Genomic DNA, 21,013 nt, shown 5'->3' with positions numbered 1-21,013 from the left:
CTTCGGGAGGCCTAGGCGGGCAGATCACTTGAGGTCAGGAGTTGAGACAAGTGAGCCTGGCCAACATGGTGAAACCCCACCTCTACTAAAAATACAAAAATTCGCCAGACGTGGTGGCGCATACCTGTAATCCCAGCTACTCCGGAGGCTGAGGCTAGAGAATGGCTTGAACCTGGGAGGCGGAGGTTGCAGATTACACCACTGCACTCCAGCCTGTGTGACAAAGCGAGACCACGTGTCAAAGAAAAAAACTTAATATTGTTAAAATGTCAGTACTGCCTACAGTGAAGCATAAATTTAATGCAGTCCCTATCAAAATCCCAGCGGCATGATTTGTAGAAATAGAAAAATCCATATAGAATTTCAGAAATCTCCAAATAGCCAAACACTCTCAAAAAAGAACAATTTGGAGGTCTCACATGTCCAAATTTCAAAACTTATTATAAATCTATAATAATCAAAACAGTATGGTAGTGGCATACAGACATAAATACCAATGGAATGTAATAGAGAGCCCAGAAATAAAACTTCATCTATATAGTCGAATGATTTTTGAGATAGGGTCTTGCTGTGTCACCCAGGCTTGAGTGTAGTGGTGTGATCATGACTCTCTGCAACCTCTGCCCCCAGGTTCAAGCTATTCTCCTGCCTCAGCCTCCTAAATAGCTGGGACCACAGAGATGCACCACCACGCCCGGCTAATTTTTGTATTTTTTGTAGAGATGAGGTTTTGCCTTGTTGCCTGCCCAGCCGGTCTCAAACTCCTGAGGTGAAGTGTTTGGCCTGCCTTGGCCTCCCAAAGTGTTGGGATTATAGGTGTAAACCACCACGCCCAGTCTTAAATGATTTTCAGTAAGGTATAAAAATTACTCGGGGGCAGGGTGGTGTGGAGCACACATAAAAAAAACTAAAAAAAAAAAAAATTATTTGATCGGGAGAAGACAGTCTCTTCAACAAAGGATGCTGGCAAACTGGATATCCACATACAAAAGAGTGAAGTTATGCCATATACAAAGATTAACCCAAAATGGATAAAATACCTAAGTGTGAGATCCAAAAATTTACAACTCTTAGAAGAAAACACAGAGGAAAAGCTTCATAACATTGGTTTTGGCAATGATTTCTCAGATATAACATCAAAAAGTATAAGCACCAAAAGCAAAAATAGACAAATGACACTATATCAAACTGAAAACCTTCTGCACAGCAAAAGACAAGTGAAAAGGCAACCTATAAGAATAGGAGAAAATATATGCCAATCATATTTGATAAGGGGTTCATAGCCAGAATATAAAGAATCCTGCAATTCAACAGCAACAACAAAAATAATAACCCATTTAAAAAATGAGCAAAGAAGATGGGTGCAGTGGCTTATGCCTGTAATCCCAGCACTTTGGGAGGCAGAGAAGTGAGGATTGCTTGAGGCCAGGAGTTCAAGAAAATAGGAAGACCCTGTATCTACAAAAAAAAATTTTAAGTAGTCAAGCATGGTTGCACACACCTGTAGTCCTAGCTGCTCAGGAGGCTGAGGCAGGAGGTTCAGCTGAACTCAGGAGTTTCACCATGTTGGCCAGGTTGGTCTCGAACAGAGGTTACAGTGAGCTGTGATCATGCCACTTCTCTCCTGCCTGAGCGGGAGAGGGAGACCCTGTCTCTCAAAAAAGAAGAAAATATTGGCAAAGGACTTGAATCGACATTTCTCCAAAGATATACAAATGACCAAGGAGTACATGAAAAGATGCCCAACATCACTAATCATTAGAGAAATGCAAATCAAACTACAATGAGATACCATACCCATTAGGATGGTTACTAGAAAAAAAAAAAATGGCCGGGCGTGGTGGCTCACGCCTATAATCCCAACACTTTGGGAGGCCGAGGCAGGTGGATAGCTTGAGCCCAGTCTGACCAACATGGCAAAACCCCGTCTCTACTAAAAGTACAAAAATTAGCTGGGTGTTGTGGCGGGCACCTGTACTCTCAGCTACTTGGGAGGCTGAGGTTCGAGACTCACTTGAACCCGGTAGGCAGAGGGTGAAGTGAGCTAAGAATGTGCCACTGCACTCCAGCCTGGGTGACAGAGCGAGACTCAGTCTAATAAGAAACAAATTGCCATGTGTCTGCCAATGTGGAGAAATTGGAACCTTTGTGCACCATTGGTGGGAATGTGTAACAGTGCAGCCACTGTGGAAGACAGTATGGTGGTTCCCGGAAGAGTTAAAAATAGAATTACTGTCTGATCCAGCAGCTCCACTTCTGGGTATATATACAAAATTGAAAGCAGGATCTCAAGCATTTGTATACCCATGTTCATAGCAACACTATTCACAACAGCCAGTAGGTAAAAGTCACCCAAATGTTCATTGATAAGTGAATGGGTACACAAAATGTGGTATATACATGCAATAAAACACTATTCAGCCTACAGAGAAGATTAGCATGGTCCCTCACAAGGATAACACACAAATACATGAAGCATTCCATATTTTTTATTTTAAAAATTAAAAAATATATGTTATTCAGCCTCAGGAAGAAAATTCTGATATATGCTATAACATGGATGAACCTTGAGGACATGCTAAGTGAAGTAAGCCAGTCACAAAAAGACAAGTACTATATTGTGATGTATCTGGGATAAGTCAACTTTATAGAAACAAAGTAGAGTAGTATTTGCCAGGGGCTCCGGGAAGCAGGAAATGGAGAGCAGCATCTACCTATTACATCCTAGTAGTCACTGTGTTTAGATGTAAGGCATACAAAATGAATAGGATACAACACTTGAACTCTGGTATTAATATTAGAAGTGGTACACCACCACTCTTGTAGTCATCTTCATACCGATATTCCTGATACTTCATTTTCTAAGCATTTGTTTTTAGTAAATGGGTAGTAGCTGTTTTTTATTATTATTTAGTACGGTAGCCCTTTAAGACCTGCATAAGACTTGGTTCGTACCACTGGACTGTAACTTAAATAAGTTAGTGATTCCTAGCTTAAGTGTGAAAATGAGATTGGAAATAATTGATGTACCATGGTAATTTAAATAAATGCAGTCTGACTCTAGAACCAGATATTGAGTTGTCAATGTAGGAGTGACTCCTTGCTCTTAAGCTTATGGGGCAAAACTCAAGTTTATGACACATGCAGAATAATTCCAAGGCAGCATAGTTACCATTATTCACTATTTATGTGTTAGGTGGCTTTCTGGTCTTATATATGAAGCGCTTTTACTTTAATTGGTTACTTTAATTGGTTATGTTTTACAGGAAGGCTGAAGTTACATTGGATGGAGTTTGGCCAACAGATAAAACATCTCGTTGTTTAATAAAGAGCCCAGATCGCCTTGCTGATATCAACTATGAAGGAAGATTGGAAGCAGTTTCAAGGAAACAGGGAGCTCAATTCAAAGAATACCGGCCTGAAACTGGTTCTTGGGTGTTTAAGGTATAGTCATTTAACCCAGTTCAGACTTTTATAAACTATATTTGGAGTCACATAACGTTTATGTTGGAAGGGATCCTTTGCTAAATTCTATTGATTGATTGATGGGGTTCTTGCTCTGTTGCTCAGGCTGGAGTACAATGGTGGGATCATAGCTCCCTGCAGCCTCAAATTCCTGGGCTCAAGCAATCCTTCTGCCTCCGCCTCCCAAGTAGCTGGGATTATAGGCATGCACTACCATGCCTGGCTACTTTTTAAAATGTTTGTAAAGATCGAGTTTCTCAGTGTTGACCAGGCTGGTCTCCAACTCCTGGGATCAAGCAGTCTTCCCTCCTTGGCCTCCCAAAAGTACTGTGATTACAGGTGTAAGCCACTATACCCAGCCAAATTCTCTTTATTTTTAGAAATTTGGAGAGAGATGTACAGATACATTATGATTCACTCCAAACTACAAACCTAGTTAAAATTCAGCAGTAATGAGTTCTTACAAACTGTGGGCTCGTGATTCAAGTCCTCTACCCAACTCCTATGAGGATTTATAAATACATTTCTAAGGTGTAGTTTTTCTAATGTTTGTCATCATTAGGGACTTCAGTAATTCATCAGGCAGGTGTCTATTGGATCAACTCTTCCTATGTAATTGTCATTCTTACTTTTAAAGATTTTTGGAGATGAAGAGGTTGACTGTCCGTAATAGTTTAATCCAATGATTTCCTCCCATTCTAGGCTGGTTGAATTATTTAACTTGTTAAAGGCCCTTGGGTAGATAGAGGATAACAGGCAATATATGTCTGTGAAAATAATAACAAGTCTTTGGATTAAGTTTCCTATATTAATGATTACAGTTTAAATGACATTTTAATGTATATTATGTAATCTTTATTAATTTACTAGTATGAGCAACTAGAGCATACATCAAACGTCTTCTAAATCTTAGATAAAAGTGTGATAGGTGATATATTTTGCTTTAAATACTTAGATATTTCTCCCCTTTTCTTTCTTTTTTCTTAAGGTAATGCTGCAAGATTGCAAAGGCAGGTATTGGGAAAGCATAATGTTTAAGTTGTTTTGTGGGGTTCTTCTCTTCCTTAGGTCTCCCATTTTTCTAAGTATGGCCTTCAGGATTCTGATGAAGAGGAGGAGGAGCATCCGTCTAAAACTAGTACAAAGAAGTTGAAGACTGCTCCTTTGCCTCCTGCAAGCCAGACTACGCCCTTGCAGATGGCTCTTAATGGCAAACCTGCACCTCCACCTCAGGTAGAGAAAAAAGGACAGTGAATTTGAATGGAATCCGTGATACCGAAGTTGAAAGCAAGTCATTCAGCTAATACAAAGCTGTTTTATGACCCTTGGAACTTTGAAGAGTACAAACATTGGCAATCACGTTGAAACAAGTGCAAGGGAGGGCGTGAGGTCTTGCAGGCATCTGTCTTTTTACTGGAGAGATTTAAAGAATTCTCTTGCTGTTTGGATTATTCCTCTACAGATTGTCATTTTTAAACCCTTTGTTCTCTCTCATTTGGACTTGCTGAATTCTCTGCTCAGTGATTAACTTAAGATTTGCTCATGTGGGTTCATGCACAGTAAATTCTGCCTTTATTGACTACCTGATGTGCAGTTTAATCTTTTTCTTTACCTCCATGGTTTTTTAAAAGTTAAATTAGCTTTCTGAAAGGGTTTTTAATCTCCATTTTTTTAAAGTTGTTTGCTTATACTTCGGGTAACCTTGATATTTGTATTTTAATAGTACATAATCTTTATGAAAAATAGTTTGGGAATGTAAATGAATTATTATTTGGCTTGGGGAGATTAGGGCCTACATTGTTTATCGCAATTACTTGTATCATTGATACGGGATTTCTTTGTAAAGCATCCTCTACCTCTCAGCTGCTGAAAGCTAGACCTTTGGTATTTTCCATGCTATAATTCTTATGGCTGCTGAAATGTGTGGTTTTTATGATTTATTAAATAATCTCTTAGGAGGCATTTCTGGAGAATGTGTGTATATACATGTTTGCGCGTACAGGGGAGGGGAGGGTATGATAAATGTGGGAAACTGGAAATATATTGACTTTTATGTTTATAATCTTGGTAGCATTTAGAATGCCCCTAAGAAATCTCCATTGACAAATGAAATGCTATAGACTTGGTTTTCCAGTTATCCATATTCATTTTGTCTGTCATATGCTTTGTATCATCTCCTTCTTTCCTAATTTTTTATAACCTTATATATATATTTATTATAAATATATGTATTTCTGAGGGAAAGAGTCAGATGGCCTTATTTTCTGTAACAAAAGTAATATGTAGGATCTTAAAGATAACCTCTTTCCAGTTGGCCCAGCTGAAAAAGAAAAGCTTCATTTATGGACAGACAGGAAAATGTTTGTAATGTTGACAGTAGTTTCTAGGTTCTTTAATTGCCAGAATAGAAATAGTAGAAAAATAACTATAAACTCCTATATTGACACTTGTGTTTGTGAGAGCTCTTTGAAAAATTGAGCACCCAAAAATTTCAGATCAAGGTTCTAGCAAAAAGAGGTAGTAAGGATTTAAAATGGGCAAGTAGCTTTTTTTTTCCTTGAGAAAGAGTTGTCGCCCAGGCTGTAGTGCACTGGTGCAGTCTCGGCTCTCTGTGGCCTCTGCCTCCCAGGTTCAAGCAGCCTCATTCCTCAGCCTCCCAAGCAGCTGGGACTACAGGGCATACCACCACACTCATCTAATTTTTTGTATTTTTAGTAGAGAGGGGATTTTGCCATGTTGGCCTCAACTCATGTTGTCTTGAACTCCTGGCCTCAAGTGATCCTCCCACCTTGGCCTCCCAAAGTGCTGGGACTACAGGCGTGAGTCACCATGGCTAGCCTAAAATGGGCAAGTAGCTTTGACTGAGGAAGTGGAAATGGTCTTTGACCTTTTGGTTGGGAAGAGCAGAAATGAGAGAAATGGATAGAGGTATTTAAATGTCCAGACTTTAGGTTTTGTTTACTTGCATTATTTTCTAAGGCCTTGAGCTTGGTATGTTGGAGCAGAAATGTAGGACTCTAGAGAATTCTTTCATATTTATTGCTCACTGACCCAAGTGAAGCTGATGGGAAATGCCAGTGGTTTGTTATTAGCACCAAAGACCCTACATTTTACTTTGCATGGGGAAACTACTTGTGCCGTTTGAGTATACTGGAAATAGCAGTCTTCTCATCTCTGTGTCAAGATGACTGCATACCATCACCTCACCCCTTAAAGAGGTTGATTGCAAAACTTCAGCTTCTTTTTTTCTTGGGGGAGAGAGGCCTGTTTCTTTAGGTATTTAGGAAGATGTGTATTTTTCTTTAATGGTCACATTTGTTCCATTACCTTTTATATAATATCGTCAGTCCCCTGTTTCCAGTTGGTTCTTAAGCCTCGCTTTTGCTCTTAAAAAAAGCAAGTAAATCTAAGCAACCAGAAAACATAAAGGTAACTAAATTTTCATGTGATCTTCTCTCCTGTACCTTTTAGGTTAGAGAAAATGTTGGTTGGCAGATAAACCTTAGTCACAGAGATGAATTAAGGTAGTTGCAGAGTATTTTGTTCTGTGGTTAGAACATTAGTTTCAAAATCCTGGTCTGGGATCCAATTTCCAGCTGGCTGCATCAATGCCCTGGTAAGCTTGACTTAGATTCCACAGATTTGGCATGGGGCTCAGGCATATTTATATTTTAATGCTTCTCCCCAGGTGGTTGAAATGTGCAATCAGGTTTCAAAACTATGTTGAAAGACCTCAGGCCTTTGGCACTCAGGTAGAGATACGTGTAGGTTTTTACCTCAGCCTTTTTTTTTTTTTTTGTAAACTTTTTTTTTTTAAATTATTATTGTACTTTAAGTTTTAGGGTACATGTGCACAGTGTGCAGGTTAGTTACATATGTATACATGTGCCATGCTGCTGTGCTGCACCCATTAACTCGTCATTTAGCATTAGGTATATCTCCTAAAGCTATACCCTCCCCCCTCCCCCCTCCCCCCACCCCACAACAGTCCCCAGAGTGTACCTCAGCCTTATAACTGAAGTGTAACTTGTGTTCAGTAACATCAAGGCAGGCTAATTGGCTTGCTCAGAAACTTAGCATTGTTCACTAAGTGAATTTAAGTTAATGACTTTTTTTTTTTTTCTGAGGCAAAGTTTTCCTATGTTCCTCAGGCTGGTTGAACTCTTGGGACCAAGCAATCCTTCCCACCTCAACCTCCCAAGTAACTGGGACTGCAGGTGCATGCCATCATGCCAGCTAATTTATTTATTTATTGTTTTAGAGACAGGATCTTGCTGTGTTGCCCAGGCTGGTCTCAGATTCTTGGCCGAATGAGTATCCTGCCTTGGCCTCCCAATGTGCTGGGATTATAGGCCAGGAGCCACAGCGCCCTGCCTAAATAAGTTTTAAACTTTTTTAAAGGAAAAAAGTGATTATTTTTTGTGGAGATGGGGCCTCAGTATGTTGCCCATGCTGGTCTCGAACTTCTAGGCTCAAGTGATCCGCCTCAGCCTCCCAAAGTGCTGGAATTACAGGTATAAGCCACCACGTCCAGCCAAAAACATTCTTTACAGTTAGAAAACTAGTTCTTTTTGAGACAGGCAATAATAGTAGTTATATTGGATCAAACTGTTTGCCTGAGAGGACAGTATGAATTATTTAAATATCTGTTTGACCTTGGACTTGTCATTCACTCTGTTGAATGAGGGTGTCTTGATATATCTTACTTTTCCTACTGAATTAAGCAATGCTGTATCGTTAGGTATTGGCAGCCTTGTTTCAATGAGGAACAGTCTTTTGAGAGATCTCAAGTCATTGAAGGTTTCAGTTGTGAAACGTTACCCTCCATATATTTAGACAATCATTTTACAGATATAATCTGTGTAGTTAGTATTTGTAATGGGCCATGCCATTATTTGGAAATAAATATGATGCTGCCTTCAAGAGATTATACTGTAGGAAAGGGAGAGTTAAAATGGTGTCCTCGTTGGCTGCTTCTTCCTATACGTGCCGTTCTTTTCCATCGACCTCCCAGTAGGCTTTCTCTTCCCTTTCCTCAGTTACTTCTGAGCCATCTTTTTTTTTTTTTTTTTAAGTACACCTTTTTTTTCAGGACTGGCCTAAAAAGGGTACCTGATCTGCCAAGATATCCAGGAAAATAAGTACACAGACAGCTTTGGGGAGTATGTTGCAGTTACTTAGATATACTTCAACAAAATTTACATATAGGGCATTCTAGGCACTTAACCATAGTTTCATAGTAATTCCCTTCCCCCTTGTCCACTTATTAGATGATATCTTACAGGTTTGAAGTCTGTTTGTGTGAATAGAATAAATAAAACCTTGATCCTTAGCATTCTTCGTAAACATACGACGAGTCCCTTAGGTCTCTAATCTGGTTATTTAACGAAATCCTCTCATGTTATCTGAAACAGTGTTCAAGGTAAGCATCTCTTGCTATTAGCAGTGTTCCTTTGTTGAGTAGTATAGTAAATTGGAACCACTCTCCCCCTCCCCATTTTTTCTTTCCTCCCACTCACTCTCCTTATCTTTTTATAGTTTACTGCTTTCTCTACCATGTGTCAAGCACTGCATTAGGTAATAGAAATAACGAAATAAATAAGTGTTGAACTTAGTGATGTGCTAGACACAGAAAACAGCCATAAACCATTTTATCAAGCCTTCACGACCTGGCCTATTTTATTTATTTTTCTTTTTGAGATGGGAGTTTAACTCTCACCCAGGCTGGAGTGCAGTGGCACAATCTTGGCTCACTGCAGCCTCCACCTCTCAGGTTCAAGCAATTTTCCTGCCTCAGCCTCCTAAGTAACTGGGAGTACAGGCACACGCCACCACACCTGGCTAATTTTTGTATTTTTAGTAGAGACAGGGTTTCTTCATGTTGACCAGGCTGGTCTCGAACTCCTGACCTCAGGTGATCCACTCACCTCAGTCTCCCAAAGTGCTGGGATTATGGGTGTGAGCCACCATGACCAGCCACTGTTCTTAAAATTTAAGTGGGAGCCCTGGGTGTCATTACCAGGGCTTTTTCCTCCTTCAGGATTTTTTTTTTTTTTTTGAGACAGAGTCTCATTCTGTTGCCCATGCTGGAATGCAGTGGCCCAGTCTTGGCTCACTACAACCTCCATTGCCTCCCGAGTAGCTGGGATTATAGGCATGTGCCTGTAATCCCAGGCACATGCCACTACATCGGCTAATTTTTATATTTTTAGTAGAGACAGTTTCACCACCATGTTGGCCAGACTAGTCTTGAACTCCTGACCTCAAGTGATCTGCCCACCTCGGCCTCCCAAAGTGCTGAGATTACAAGCTTGAGCCATCAAACCCAGTCTAGAATTTTTTTTGGTTTGAAAATATTTCAAATATTGGCTTAGTCATTTGCTAACATTTTAGGATATAGGTAATTGAATTTGTACTGTACCAATTAATTTACAGTGTGTTTCAGCTTTGAGTGTTTACCCTTTTAAATCATAGACTGTTAGTCATAGTTGTCTTTAAAACTGCTTAATAAATGTAAATATAACTCTTGACATTTTTAAACATAAAGGGATTCTTCCCAGATTAAAATTGTTCCTAATATTATTACTTTGTTTTTTGGAAGAGTAGATAGTGCTCGTATCTTACGTGGTACTGCACAAGTAGAGACCAGCTAACCTTAGGATTCAGTAACCCAAAAGTTAAATTCCAGACCCAAGATTGTGTTGACTAGAAATTTATTTCTAAATGTTTTTAAGAAAAAGCAAAGTTACTGGAGACTTTGATATTTGTACCTTTTGTTCTTTTTTTCCAATGTCTTCTGGCAGTGTTAGGAAAAGGTGACCCTGTGTAAATCAGAAAATTGTAGTTGCTAGCTAGATCAAGTAAAGCATAATCTTTGTCTCTGAAGACCACCATTTGTTTCACCATGGGTGCTGGTTTAGGTCCCAGACACCAGGTCGTAATATTAGAATGGGATGACTACATGAATCCTTATTTGGATCAAAGTACTGGTTTATCTTGGGGTAATTGATTTTAAATCACTCTAGCAAATCTGCTACCTTACCTCACCATAGAATGGGCTGAATCTAATAATTGTTGTATCATATTCTGAATAAAGTAAATCTGATTTAGAATCTATTTCTGTTTGGTATAATTTAATGCTGCTTTCCTGATCTTTCTGCTGTCTACAGAGCCAGAGCCCAGAGGTGGAGCAGTTAGGGAGGGTTGTGGAACTGGACAGTGACATGGTAGATATCACCCAGGAGCCAGTTTTGGATACCATGTTAGAAGAGAGCATGCCTGAGGATCAGGAACCTGTGTCTGCCTCAACACATATTGCATCTTCACTGGGAATTAATCCACATGTCTTACAGGTGAAGTTCTAACCCACCTTTTTTGTAACAGAAAGCCAAACTAATATTTTATCTCCATTGCATAGGATCAGGTCTCTTCCTTGGTTATTAAGATCATTGAGTGCTCACTGTAATGGGGAAAAAAAATACAAGAATATGGCCAATGTCTGGGCCTCATTCTCTTATTCAAGGAGATAAGGCTATATTGAGAACTAGTAGATAGGGTTTCTGGTTTTAACTGCATTAGAATCCAGAGTCCTAGTTCCAATCCCAATTTTGTTGTGTTTTGTTTTTGAGGCAGAGTTTCTTTGCTCTGTCGCCCAGGCTGGAGTGGAGTGGTGTGATCTTGGTTCACTGCAACCTCCACCTCCTGGGTTCAAGTGATTCCCCTGCCCCAACCTCCTGTGTAGGTGAGATTACAGGCGTGTACCACCACCACACCTGGCTACTTTTTTTTTTTTTTTTTTTTGTATTTTTAGTAGAGAAAGGGGTTTCTCCATGTTGGTCAGTCTGGTCTCGAACTCCTGACCTCAGGTGATCTGCCCGCGTTGGCCTTCCAGAGTGCTAGGATTATAGGCATGAGCCACTGAGCCCGGCCCCAATCCCAATTTTGTAACTTTATTACTTTGTGCAAGTCATATAATAGCTGTGAGTACTGATTTTTCTCTATAAAATATTACTTTGTCTACATCACAGGGTACTTTTAAGACTCTGTATGTGCTCCACAAAATTTAAAAATTTTAGTACCTAGTAGCACAGGTTTCTTTAAGCTATGTCTTTACTTCCCTTTATCCCAGTGCCTTTTGGTGTGTTATGTGTTTAACCTTTGGCTTATGTTTGACTTTAAAATTATTTTATCAGCAAACATAGCAACTGCTGTGTGCCAGGCTCTGGTGAGACGCTATAGATACAAAGAAGAGAAGTATTATATGAATTCTGCCTTTCAGGCACACACAGTGTAATGGGGTCCATCCATCACACAAATATACTAGCTCTGTACACAGCCTTGAGGAGGAACAATATTTTTGGTTGTTGTAAACTGCATTTTTTTTTGGTATGGCCTTTTGATTCTGGGAAGCACATTCATTCTATAGATATTGCCTTTTTAGATCATGAAAGCATCATTGCTTACTGATGAAGAAGATGTAGATATGGCACTGGATCAACGCTTCAGTCGCCTGCCTTCCAAAGCAGATACTTCTCAAGAAATCTGTTCTCCCAGACTCCCCATTTCAGCATCCCACTCGTCGAAAACTCGTTCACTAGGTACAGTATAAAAGATGCTATTTTACAAGAAAGCTGTACAGTCATCAAGTCCTGCTTTTCACTTTTCTTCTTCTAACCCAAGTGGACTTCTCTAGCAAGTATCTGCCAAACAACTATACCTGTGACATAAGGGTGCTAAGAGAAATTGTACTTATAAGTATTCATTAAGAGTAGCCAGGTTTTTTGTTTTTAGAGACAGGGTCTCTCTCTGTTGCACAGACTGGAGTGCAGTTATGCAGTCGCACTTACTACAGCCTTGAACTCTTGGGCTCAAGCAGTCCTCCTGTCTCAGCCTCCTGAGTAGCTAGGACTATGGGCATATACCCACTACTCAACTAATTATTTTTTTAAATGTTTATAGAGATGGATCTTGCTATCTTGCCCCAGGCTGGTCTTGAACTTCTGGCCTCAACTGATCATCCTGCCTCAGCTTCCCAAAGTGCTGAGATTACAGGTATGCGTCATTGCACCTGGCAGGAGTGGCCGGTTTTTAAGAACTAGAATTACCTCTGTTTGTGCAGATGCAGAAGTGTATGGAGAAAAAAAGCATTTGTGCTTTGTTTAGGTTCATGTTTTTGTTTGCTTATGAATGTGGATTAGATAGTAAGCTCTGACTTCCCAATTTTTATAACATTACTTAGTTCAGCAAGTTGTCCTGCACTATACTTGTTTTGTGCAGTCCTTACAGCACTGTCTTATTGTCTTCTAGGGACAAGTATTGCTTCTCGTAATGCACAGAGCACATCAGATTTCTACTTTTCACTAAACCTTTTTAAATTCCCAGGGAAGTGATTACATATTTGATTTTAAAGTTTTCTCTTTTCTAGTGGGCTTGTAACTATGTGGGATTGGAAATAAAGTTTTAATATCAGCAAAGAACTTAAGCAGATGTAGTTTCAACATATTTTGAAAGCCAGAGGAACTGGCAGAGAGACATTTGTTTATATTGCTTTAAAAACTAAATATTTTTCAATTCTTTTGAGTTCCCTTATTATCAACTTTGCTTTTTAAAAATATTTTTAACTTCCCTTTGGTATAGAGGAAAGAAAGAAAATATATTAACCAAAAAAGTATCAGTTAAACATTCTTAATAACCTTTTCCGTAATGGATACTACATGAAAATCTGGTACTTCAATAATATTTAACTCCATGCTTTAGACAAAAGCCACGTAAAATTGGGAAACAGGCACTGGTAATAAGAACTGTCCTTCAGCCGGGCACAGTGGCTCATGCCTATAATCATAGCACTTTAGGAGACTGAGGAAGGAGGATGGCTTGAGGCTAGGATTTGGAGAGCAGCCTGGGCAACATAGCAAGACTCCATCCCTATAATAGCTAGCTAGCTAGATAAAAATTTAAATGTTAAAAAAATTTTTTTTTAAAGAACTGTCCTTCAGAAGGTCACATGTACAATTGTAAGATACCTAGTGTGTTTTTATTTCGTTGACTGTAGCATTGTTTAGAGTAGAGTAGGAATTTGAGTTTTGATCTTACTTTTATATGTGCTAAGAAATCGTTACCTTTAGGATTCTGATAAGGGCATGAGGAGTGGTGCCAGACTTAACCTTGGCTTGTCTCCTGGTCCTGTCACTTTGTAGATTTGGACAAGTCACTTATCTGAGCTCAGTTTTCTCATATATACAATAGGAATGATAATAATGCTAATCATTTAAAAGTTTTTGAGGCCAAGTGCAGTGGCTCATGCCTGTAATTGCAGCACTCTAGGAGGCTGAGGCAGGTGGATCACGAGGTCAGGAGTTCAAGACCAGCCTGGCCAACATGGTGAAACTCTGTCTCTACTAAAAATACAGAAAAGTTAGCCAGGCATGGTGGCGGGCACCTGTAATCCCAGCTACTCGGGAGGCTGAGGCAGAGAATTGCTTGAACCCAGGAGGCAGAGGTTGCAGTGAGCCAAGATCATGCCACTGCACTCTAGCCTGGGCTACAGGGCGAGACTCTGTCTCCAAAAAAAAAAAAAAAAAGTTTTTGAAGAGTGAAATGAAATAACATATACAAATGACTTATACAGAGCCTGCTGCATATTTTTAAATAATATTAATAGTGTTGTTGCTTTTATTATTGTTGTAGATATCATCATCATCATTAGAATCTTGTCCTGATTTCCTAGTTCAAAGAGTAATTTCTGCAAAATCTGACTTAGCCTGCTTCTGGTCATCCACATCTGATATAAGTAGTTTGATTAAACATTGAATGATTTCAGCCTTACTGATTTTTGTTATTGTTCAAGAAACAATAGCTTGTGTTTTGTAATAGTCTTTCTCCCCTTCATTCCCGCTTCATTTCAGTTGGTGGGTTACTACAATCAAAATTTACAAGTGGAGCTTTTCTTTCACCAAGTGTCTCTGTGCAAGAATGTCGTACTCCCAGAGCAGCATCTTTAATGAATATCCCATCCACATCCTCTTGGTCTGTCCCTCCACCCCTGACTTCTGTGTTCACAATGCCCAGCCCAGCCCCTGAGGTTCCGTTGAAAACAGTGGGTACACGTAGGCAACTAGGCCTAGTCCCTCGTGAAAAGTCTGTCACCTATGGCAAGGGAAAACTCTTGATGGACATGGCCCTATTCATGGGACGCTCATTTCGTGTTGGTTGGGGCCCCAACTGGACTCTTGCTAATAGTGGAGAACAGCTGAATGGCTCTCATGAACTAGAAAATCATCAGATTGCCGATTCCATGGAGTTTGGATTCCTGCCCAATCCAGTAGCTGTTAAACCGTGAGTCACATTTCTTGATGCTTTTTGAGAAAGGCAACATGATAGGTGAAAAAAACTAATCAGGAGGATAGGGCCCTGCTTTGTCATCTTTCTAGAGAGAGAGAGAGAGAGAGAGAGAGAGAGAGAGAGAGAGAGAGAGAGAGAGAGAGTGTGTGTGTGTGTGTGTGTGTGTGTGTGTGTGTCTCAGTTTTGCTCTGTTTCCCCGGTGTGTGTGTGTGTGTTTTTGAGTCTCAGTTTTGCTCTGTTTCCCAGGCTGGGGTGCGGTGGCACGATCTCAGCTTGCTGCAACCTCTGCCTCTCAGTCTGAGGCTCTTCTCCTGCCTCAGCCTCCTGATAAGCTGGGATTACATGCACACGCCACCACACCCAGCTAATGTTTCCTGAGCTCAAGTGATTGTCCTACCTTGGCCTCCCAAAGTGCTGGGATTACAGTCATGAGCCACCTTGCCCAGCCTATCCTTCATTTTTAAAGTTGACTTTGAAAAAATAAAAAACAACCTGTAATCCCAGCACTTTGGGAGGCCAAGATGGGCGGATCACGAGGTCAGGAGATTGAGACCATCCTGGCTAACACGGTGAAACTCTGTCTCTACTAAAAATACAAAAAAAATTAGCTGGGCGTTGTGGCAGGCGCCTGTAGACCCAGCTAGTCAGGAGGCTGAGGCAGGAGAATGGTGTGAACCCGGGAGGCGGAGCTTGCAGTGAGCTGAGATCGCGCCATTGCACTCTAGCCTGGGCAACTGAATGAGACTCAGTCTCAAAAAAAAAAAAGAGAGAAAAGAAAAAGAAAAAACAACAATGTCTCTTGAACCTCACAATTAAGAATACTGATCCTAAACTTAGTTATTCTAGGTTAAGCATTATCTTGTGAATTTTGAAGGTTATTAATATCAATCTTAAAAATTAGATCAAGGGGCCGGGTACGGTGGCTCACACCTGTCATCCCAGCACTTTGGGAGGATCACTTGAGGTCAGGAGTTCGAGACCAGCCTGGCCAACATGGTAAAACCCTGTCTCTACTAAAATTACAAAAATTAGCCCAGGGTGGTGGTGCATGTTTGTAATCCCAGCTACTCAGGAGACTGAGGCAGGAGAATCGCCCTTGAACCCAGGAGGCAGAGGTTGCAGTAAGCCAAGATCACGCTACTGCATTCCAACCTCAGCGACAGTGTGAAACTCCATCTCAAAAAAAAAAAAAAAAAAAAAATTGGAACAAGCCTAGCTTAGCTATATGCTCATTGTAATTTAGAATCAGTTCTTTAGTATCTAGAAGCTTAGCCTCATGACTTTTGATACCCAAGTATAATTTGAGAAACAGGTATCCCACAATAGCTTTTGGCCCTTGAGTTTTAGCCAGTTCTAAATCTGTTAGGATTCTCATGCTTGTTATAACCTGGCCTAAGAAGCCTTTGTGTTCTGAATGCACTGATCAGATGATTTTTTTTCCCCAGTATATAGCAGATAAGTTCAGTATAGTTTAAGAAACAAAATTTCTTTAAAACTACAGTGAAATGTTTGCATTCCGTTTGTAATCATAAAAAGAAACAGTGGTTTGGTTGAAGTAAAAATCCTAGCTTCTGTCTTAGGTTCATTTTCTATTCTATTCCTCATTTGCTCTTGTAGCCTAACTGAGTCCCCATTCAAAGTTCACTTAGAAAAACTCAGTTTGAGACAAAGAAAGCCAGATGAAGACATGAAATTATATCAGACACCTCTGGAGCTCAAATTAAAACACAGCACTGTCCATGTGGATGAACTGTGTCCTCTCATTGTCCCCAATCTGGGAGTTGCTGTCATTCATGACTATGCAGATTGGGTTAAAGAAGCATCAGGAGACTTACCAGAAGCACAAAGTGAGTACACACTATGTTTCTAATGTTTGATGTCCCAATAATAGTGGTGGTAGCGTATGTTCACGGGAGGATGAATTTCCTGGCACCAGTCTAGTAGGTAAATGCCTGTGCTTGTCATTTTCTGAGGTTGAGTTTAACTAAGCAGATTCCCAAGCAAGAAGAAATTGTCACTATGTTCTTGTCACTTTGTTCTTTTACCCATTAATGTACAAATTCTTCCACAAAGAACTGTAGCAAGTCAAATCCTTGGATTTATAAAATTGAATTTCTTACCTAATCCAGAGAACATAGGGAGAGAAATACATTCCTTCTTGCTTTACTTTTTTTTTTTTTTTTTTTTTGAGACGGAGTCTCACTCTGTCACTGTAGCTGGGAGTATAGGCGCGCGCCACCACACCCAGCTAATTTTTGTATTCTTAGTAGAGACAGGGTTTCACCATATTGGCCAGGATTGTCTCGATCTCTTGACCTCGTGATCTGCCTGCCTCGACTTTCCAAAGTGCTGGGATTACAGGCGTGAGCCATCGAGCCCGGCCCCTTCTTGCTTTTCTAAATCCTATCCATTCTTCCATATCCAGCTCAAGTACTGTTGGTCTTCTCAACAGCTTTGTTGTAATTCCTCTTCCTGGCTTCTTTCAAGATTACCTTTCTCATCTATCATGACCATGTTTTTCTGAATCAATACTTTGATAAAGGGGTTATCTAATTTATTAATATTTCAAACAGTAGAAAAATCATTTTGTTTAGCAAATCACGTTTATTGAAAAATGGGCTGTTTTAGAATGTCCTATGCCACACGTTTTGAGATTTGTTTATGTTCCTTCAGTTCTTTGTATTTACTTAATCGTCTCATTGTCTTTTCAAATGTGTAAGTTATTTTACCAGTGCATACTTGTAAGTGGCTTAAATGATAAACAGTACTTTTGTAGATTGATTTTTATAGACAGAATTTGATCAAAGTAGATATCATCTGAGATGACACTAGCCATAATTAGGCTTGGGGAACCTGTTTAACGGTTACATTTGTTATGTAAGTACCACAGAAACATGATATGAGCAAGCATTTATTTATACTATGTACTTCTGGAAATTGTAAGACGAAGTTGAGTGAGGTAGAGACAGATTCAGGGTAATCAGCTTGAGTGGTTGTTTGAGATGTCTATTAATTTATGTATTTTTAACATCACAGTTAGAAGGATGCCCTCTGTGAAGTTGTTGTAAGACTTTGTCTCGTAACATTGTTTTTCTCTTCCTGCCTTAGTTGTGAAGCACTGGAGCCTGACATGGACACTATGTGAAGCCCTATGGGGCCACCTGAAGGAGCTTGACAGCCAGCTAAATGAACCCCGTGAATACATTCAAATTCTGGAGCGAAGAAGAGCTTTCTCCCGCTGGCTATCCTGTACTGCCACACCTCAGATTGAAGAGGAAGTCTCCTTAACCCAAAAAAACAGCCCTGTGGAGGCTGTATTCAGCTACCTCACAGGCAAAAGGATCAGTGAGGCCTGCTCTCTGGCCCAGCAGTCAGGTGGGGAAGGCATATGGTCCTTCTCTGCGCCTCTGTCGCCTTCCTACTCACTGCCTCCTACCGCTCCCCGCTAATTGTGCATTTCCCTTTGGCTTCTAGCCTATGAGTATTAATTGCGGACTTCCCAGAAAGATTGCTGGTTCCCGTGGAATATGTAATATAACATAAAATTTAACTTTTAATCAAGTAAACAATGTTTAAGGTCCTAAACAGAGAATTAGAAGACATAGTGCGGCTGGGCTCAGTGGCTCATGCCTGTAATTCCAGCACTGTGGGAGGCCAAGGTGGGTAGATCACACCCACCTATTCCTATAGAATAGGAACCATGACTTTTTTTTTTTTTTTTTTTTTTTTTTGAGACAGTTTCACTCTTGTTGCCCAGGCTGGAGTACAATGGTGCGATCTCGGCTCACTGCAACCTCCTCCTCCTGGGTTCAAGCGATTCTCTTGCCTCAGCCTCCCAAGTAGCTGAGATTACAGGTGCCTGCTACCACACCTGGCTAATTTTTGTATTTTAGTAGAGACAGGGTTTCACCATGTTGGTCAGGCTGGTCTCGAACTCCTGACCTCAGGTGATCCACCCACCTTGGCCTCCCAAAGTGCTGGAATTACAGGTGTGAGCCACTGCACCCAGCCGAACTATGTCTTCTAATTCTTTTTTTAGGACCTTAAACATTGTTTACTTGATTAAAATTTAAATTTTATATTACATTTGTAATAAAACTAGAAAGCATAGATAAGCTATCAATCAAAATCACCCAAATCCTGTGACTACTACTCACTGCAAACATTTTAATGTGCAATTTGTACTTAATTCTTTACTTTGTAATACATACAAATATGTCCAGACACTGTGACATATGCTTGTGAACTTTTCAAAGGTGATATCCTGCTGTGTATTATATTCTGTTCTTTTCATGTGGCACATTACAAATGCCCTGTAATACAGATAATTATCAAATACTTCTTAGCATTCTTTTATGTATAAATGTACCATAGTAGTAAATTTCTTCCTTCACATTGAGACTTTTTTTAAAACTATAAACAGTACTCTGAATTGCTATAAAATATGTTCTATATCAATTCATTCAAATAAATATATAGAAGTTGAATTTCTGGGTTGAGGTACTCACTGGCTTTTTAAAAGGAATTTATATGCATATATTTACTTCTTTAAGTTCCCTTTCACTAATGAGGCAATTCAGCAAGTACTTAATGACTGCCTAGATATAAATCTTTTTTTTTTTTTTTTTTTTTTTTTAAGACAGAGTCTGTCTGTGTGTTTACCAGACTGCTGGAGTGCAGTGGAACGATCTCAGCTCACTGCAACCTTTACTTCCTGGGTTCAAGCGATTCTCCTGCCTCAGCCTCCTGAGTAGCTGGGATTACAGGTGCCTGCCACCATGCCCAGCTAGTTGTCTTTTTTTTTATTTTTAGTAGAGACAGGGTTTCGCCATGTTGGCCAGGGTGGTCTCAAACTCGTGACTTCCAGTGATCCACCCACTTTGGCCTCCCAAGTGCTGGGATTACAGGCATGAGCCACCGTGCCTGGCCATAAAGTCTTGATAAGAATACAGGATGGCATAGTTCAGCTTAATCTAATATGATCAGATCCTTATTCAAACCTTGATTGTTGGAACCTAATTTATCCAAAGCCAACTAATTGGAGCCATCGACTGGATTTATTTTGAAGAGTTTTGCCACTTTTGGGATTATAAGGAACAAATCACAGGAAAAGCCAGAATCAGTAAGCTATATAAAGGGCTTGTTGCATTCCACTGTCACTACACATTTAGCCTGGTAGCTTCCTGTTTTCTTTTCTTTTTATTTTTTAAATAGAGATGGGGTCTGTATGTTGACCAGGCTGGTCTCAAACTCCTGGCGTCAAGCAGCCCTCCTGCCTCAGCCTCCCAAAGTGCTGGGATTAGAGGCGTGAGCCACCACATCCAGCCTCCGTCTGGTACTATTTATGGTCTTTGTGCATTTGTACAGTGAGAATTTATCTTTGGGATTGATCTTGTATGAACTTATTATGAATCATTAAAAAAAGGTTATGCTCACCAGGACACCAACATGTAGTAGGAGAGGATCTTAAGGCATGCCAGAGTCAGATTCTTAGGGCTGTTGATTCATAAACTCCACTTTCTTCCTGTTTATTTTGACTGTAAGGCTAAACCTCTGGTAAAGGTACTGCCTTTTAGGTTACTAAAAGCTTTTGCTTTACTACTCCCCCCCTTTTTTTTTGTTTTTTGTTTTGTTTTTGTTTTTGTTTTCGAGACAGTCTCGCTCTGTACCCCAGGATGGAGTGCAGTGGCATAATCTTGGCTCACTACAACGTTTGCCTCCTGGGTTCAAGCGATTCTCCTGCCTCAGCCTCCTGAGTAGCTGGGATTACAGGTAACGTGCCACCACACTCGGCTAACTTTTGTATATTTAGTAGAGATGCCGTTTCGTCATGTTGGCCAGGCTGGTCTCGAACTCCTGACCTCAGGTGATCCGCCTGCCTCAGCCTTCCAAAGTGCTGGGATTACAGGCGTGAACCACTGCCTCCGGCCTTTTTTTTTCCCTCCCCCCTGCACCAAGACAGAGTCTTGGTCTGTCACCCAGGCTGGAGTGCAGTAGTGCAATCTCTGTTTACTGCAACTTCTGCCTTCTGGGTTCAAGTGGTTCTCGTGTCTCAGCCTCTTGAGTAGCTGGGACTCCAGTCACGTGCCACCACGCCAGGCTAATTTTTGTATTTTTAGTAGAGACAAAGTTTCATCATGTTGGCGAGGTTGGTCTCGAACTCCTGACCCCAAGTGATTTGCCCGCCTTGGCTTCCCAGAGCACTGGG

The 21,013-nt window shown here is 40.3% G+C and overlaps 1 protein-coding gene and 1 pseudogene across 12 annotated transcripts in view, besides 2 other annotated features; both read left to right on the top strand.

Annotated features, from left to right (window-relative positions):
- Window positions 1–21,013, top strand: part of NUP98 (nucleoporin 98 and 96 precursor) — a 122,545-nt gene that overhangs the window by 80,293 nt on the left and 21,239 nt on the right. For 8 of the 12 annotated variants that reach the window (NR_157591.1, NR_157589.2, NM_001365128.2 and 5 more), the window contains 7 exons: window positions 3,267–3,444; window positions 4,534–4,698; window positions 10,635–10,817; window positions 11,906–12,062; window positions 14,370–14,799; window positions 16,423–16,652; window positions 17,914–18,180. Coding sequence is in view for 9 of the 12 variants with exons in the window: in NM_001365128.2 (NP_001352057.1) it covers window positions 3,267–3,444; window positions 4,534–4,698; window positions 10,635–10,817; window positions 11,906–12,062; window positions 14,370–14,799; window positions 16,423–16,652; window positions 17,914–18,180 (1,610 nt within the window). In the remaining 3 variants the exon portion in view is untranslated. Of the gene's footprint in view, window positions 1–3,266; window positions 3,445–4,533; window positions 5,710–10,634; window positions 10,818–11,905; window positions 12,063–12,423; window positions 12,517–14,369; window positions 14,800–16,422; window positions 16,653–17,913; window positions 18,181–21,013 lie in introns of those variants that run through there. The other 4 variants (NM_139131.5, NM_005387.7, NM_001365125.2 and 1 more) reach the window with 3 other exon arrangements.
- RNU6-1143P (RNA, U6 small nuclear 1143, pseudogene) lies at window positions 2,387–2,490 on the top strand (annotated as a pseudogene).
- Window positions 14,682–15,181: an enhancer, noted in NCBI's record as "H3K27ac hESC enhancer chr11:3723311-3723810 (GRCh37/hg19 assembly coordinates)". NCBI's record gives its function as "activates a minimal SCP1, AML or CMV promoter by ChIP-STARR-seq in primed H9 embryonic stem cells {active_cell/tissue: H9 hESC(primed)}" and the evidence as "EXISTENCE:reporter gene assay evidence [ECO:0000049][PMID:30033119]".
- Window positions 20,607–20,827: a silencer, noted in NCBI's record as "fragment chr11:3717665-3717885 (GRCh37/hg19 assembly coordinates)". NCBI's record gives its function as "represses an EF-1alpha promoter that drives an FKBP-Casp9 reporter gene in an ReSE screen in phorbol 12-myristate 13-acetate-treated (for megakaryocytic differentiation) K562 erythroleukemia cells {active_cell/tissue: K562(+PMA)}" and the evidence as "EXISTENCE:reporter gene assay evidence [ECO:0000049][PMID:32094911]".

The sequence above is a fragment of the Homo sapiens genome, chromosome 11 (assembly GCF_000001405.40).
Source record: "Homo sapiens chromosome 11, GRCh38.p14 Primary Assembly".
NCBI lineage: Eukaryota > Metazoa > Chordata > Mammalia > Primates > Hominidae > Homo > Homo sapiens.
The sequence above is the reverse complement of the archived record's forward strand: the minus strand, read 5'-3'. Positions and strand labels throughout refer to the sequence as shown.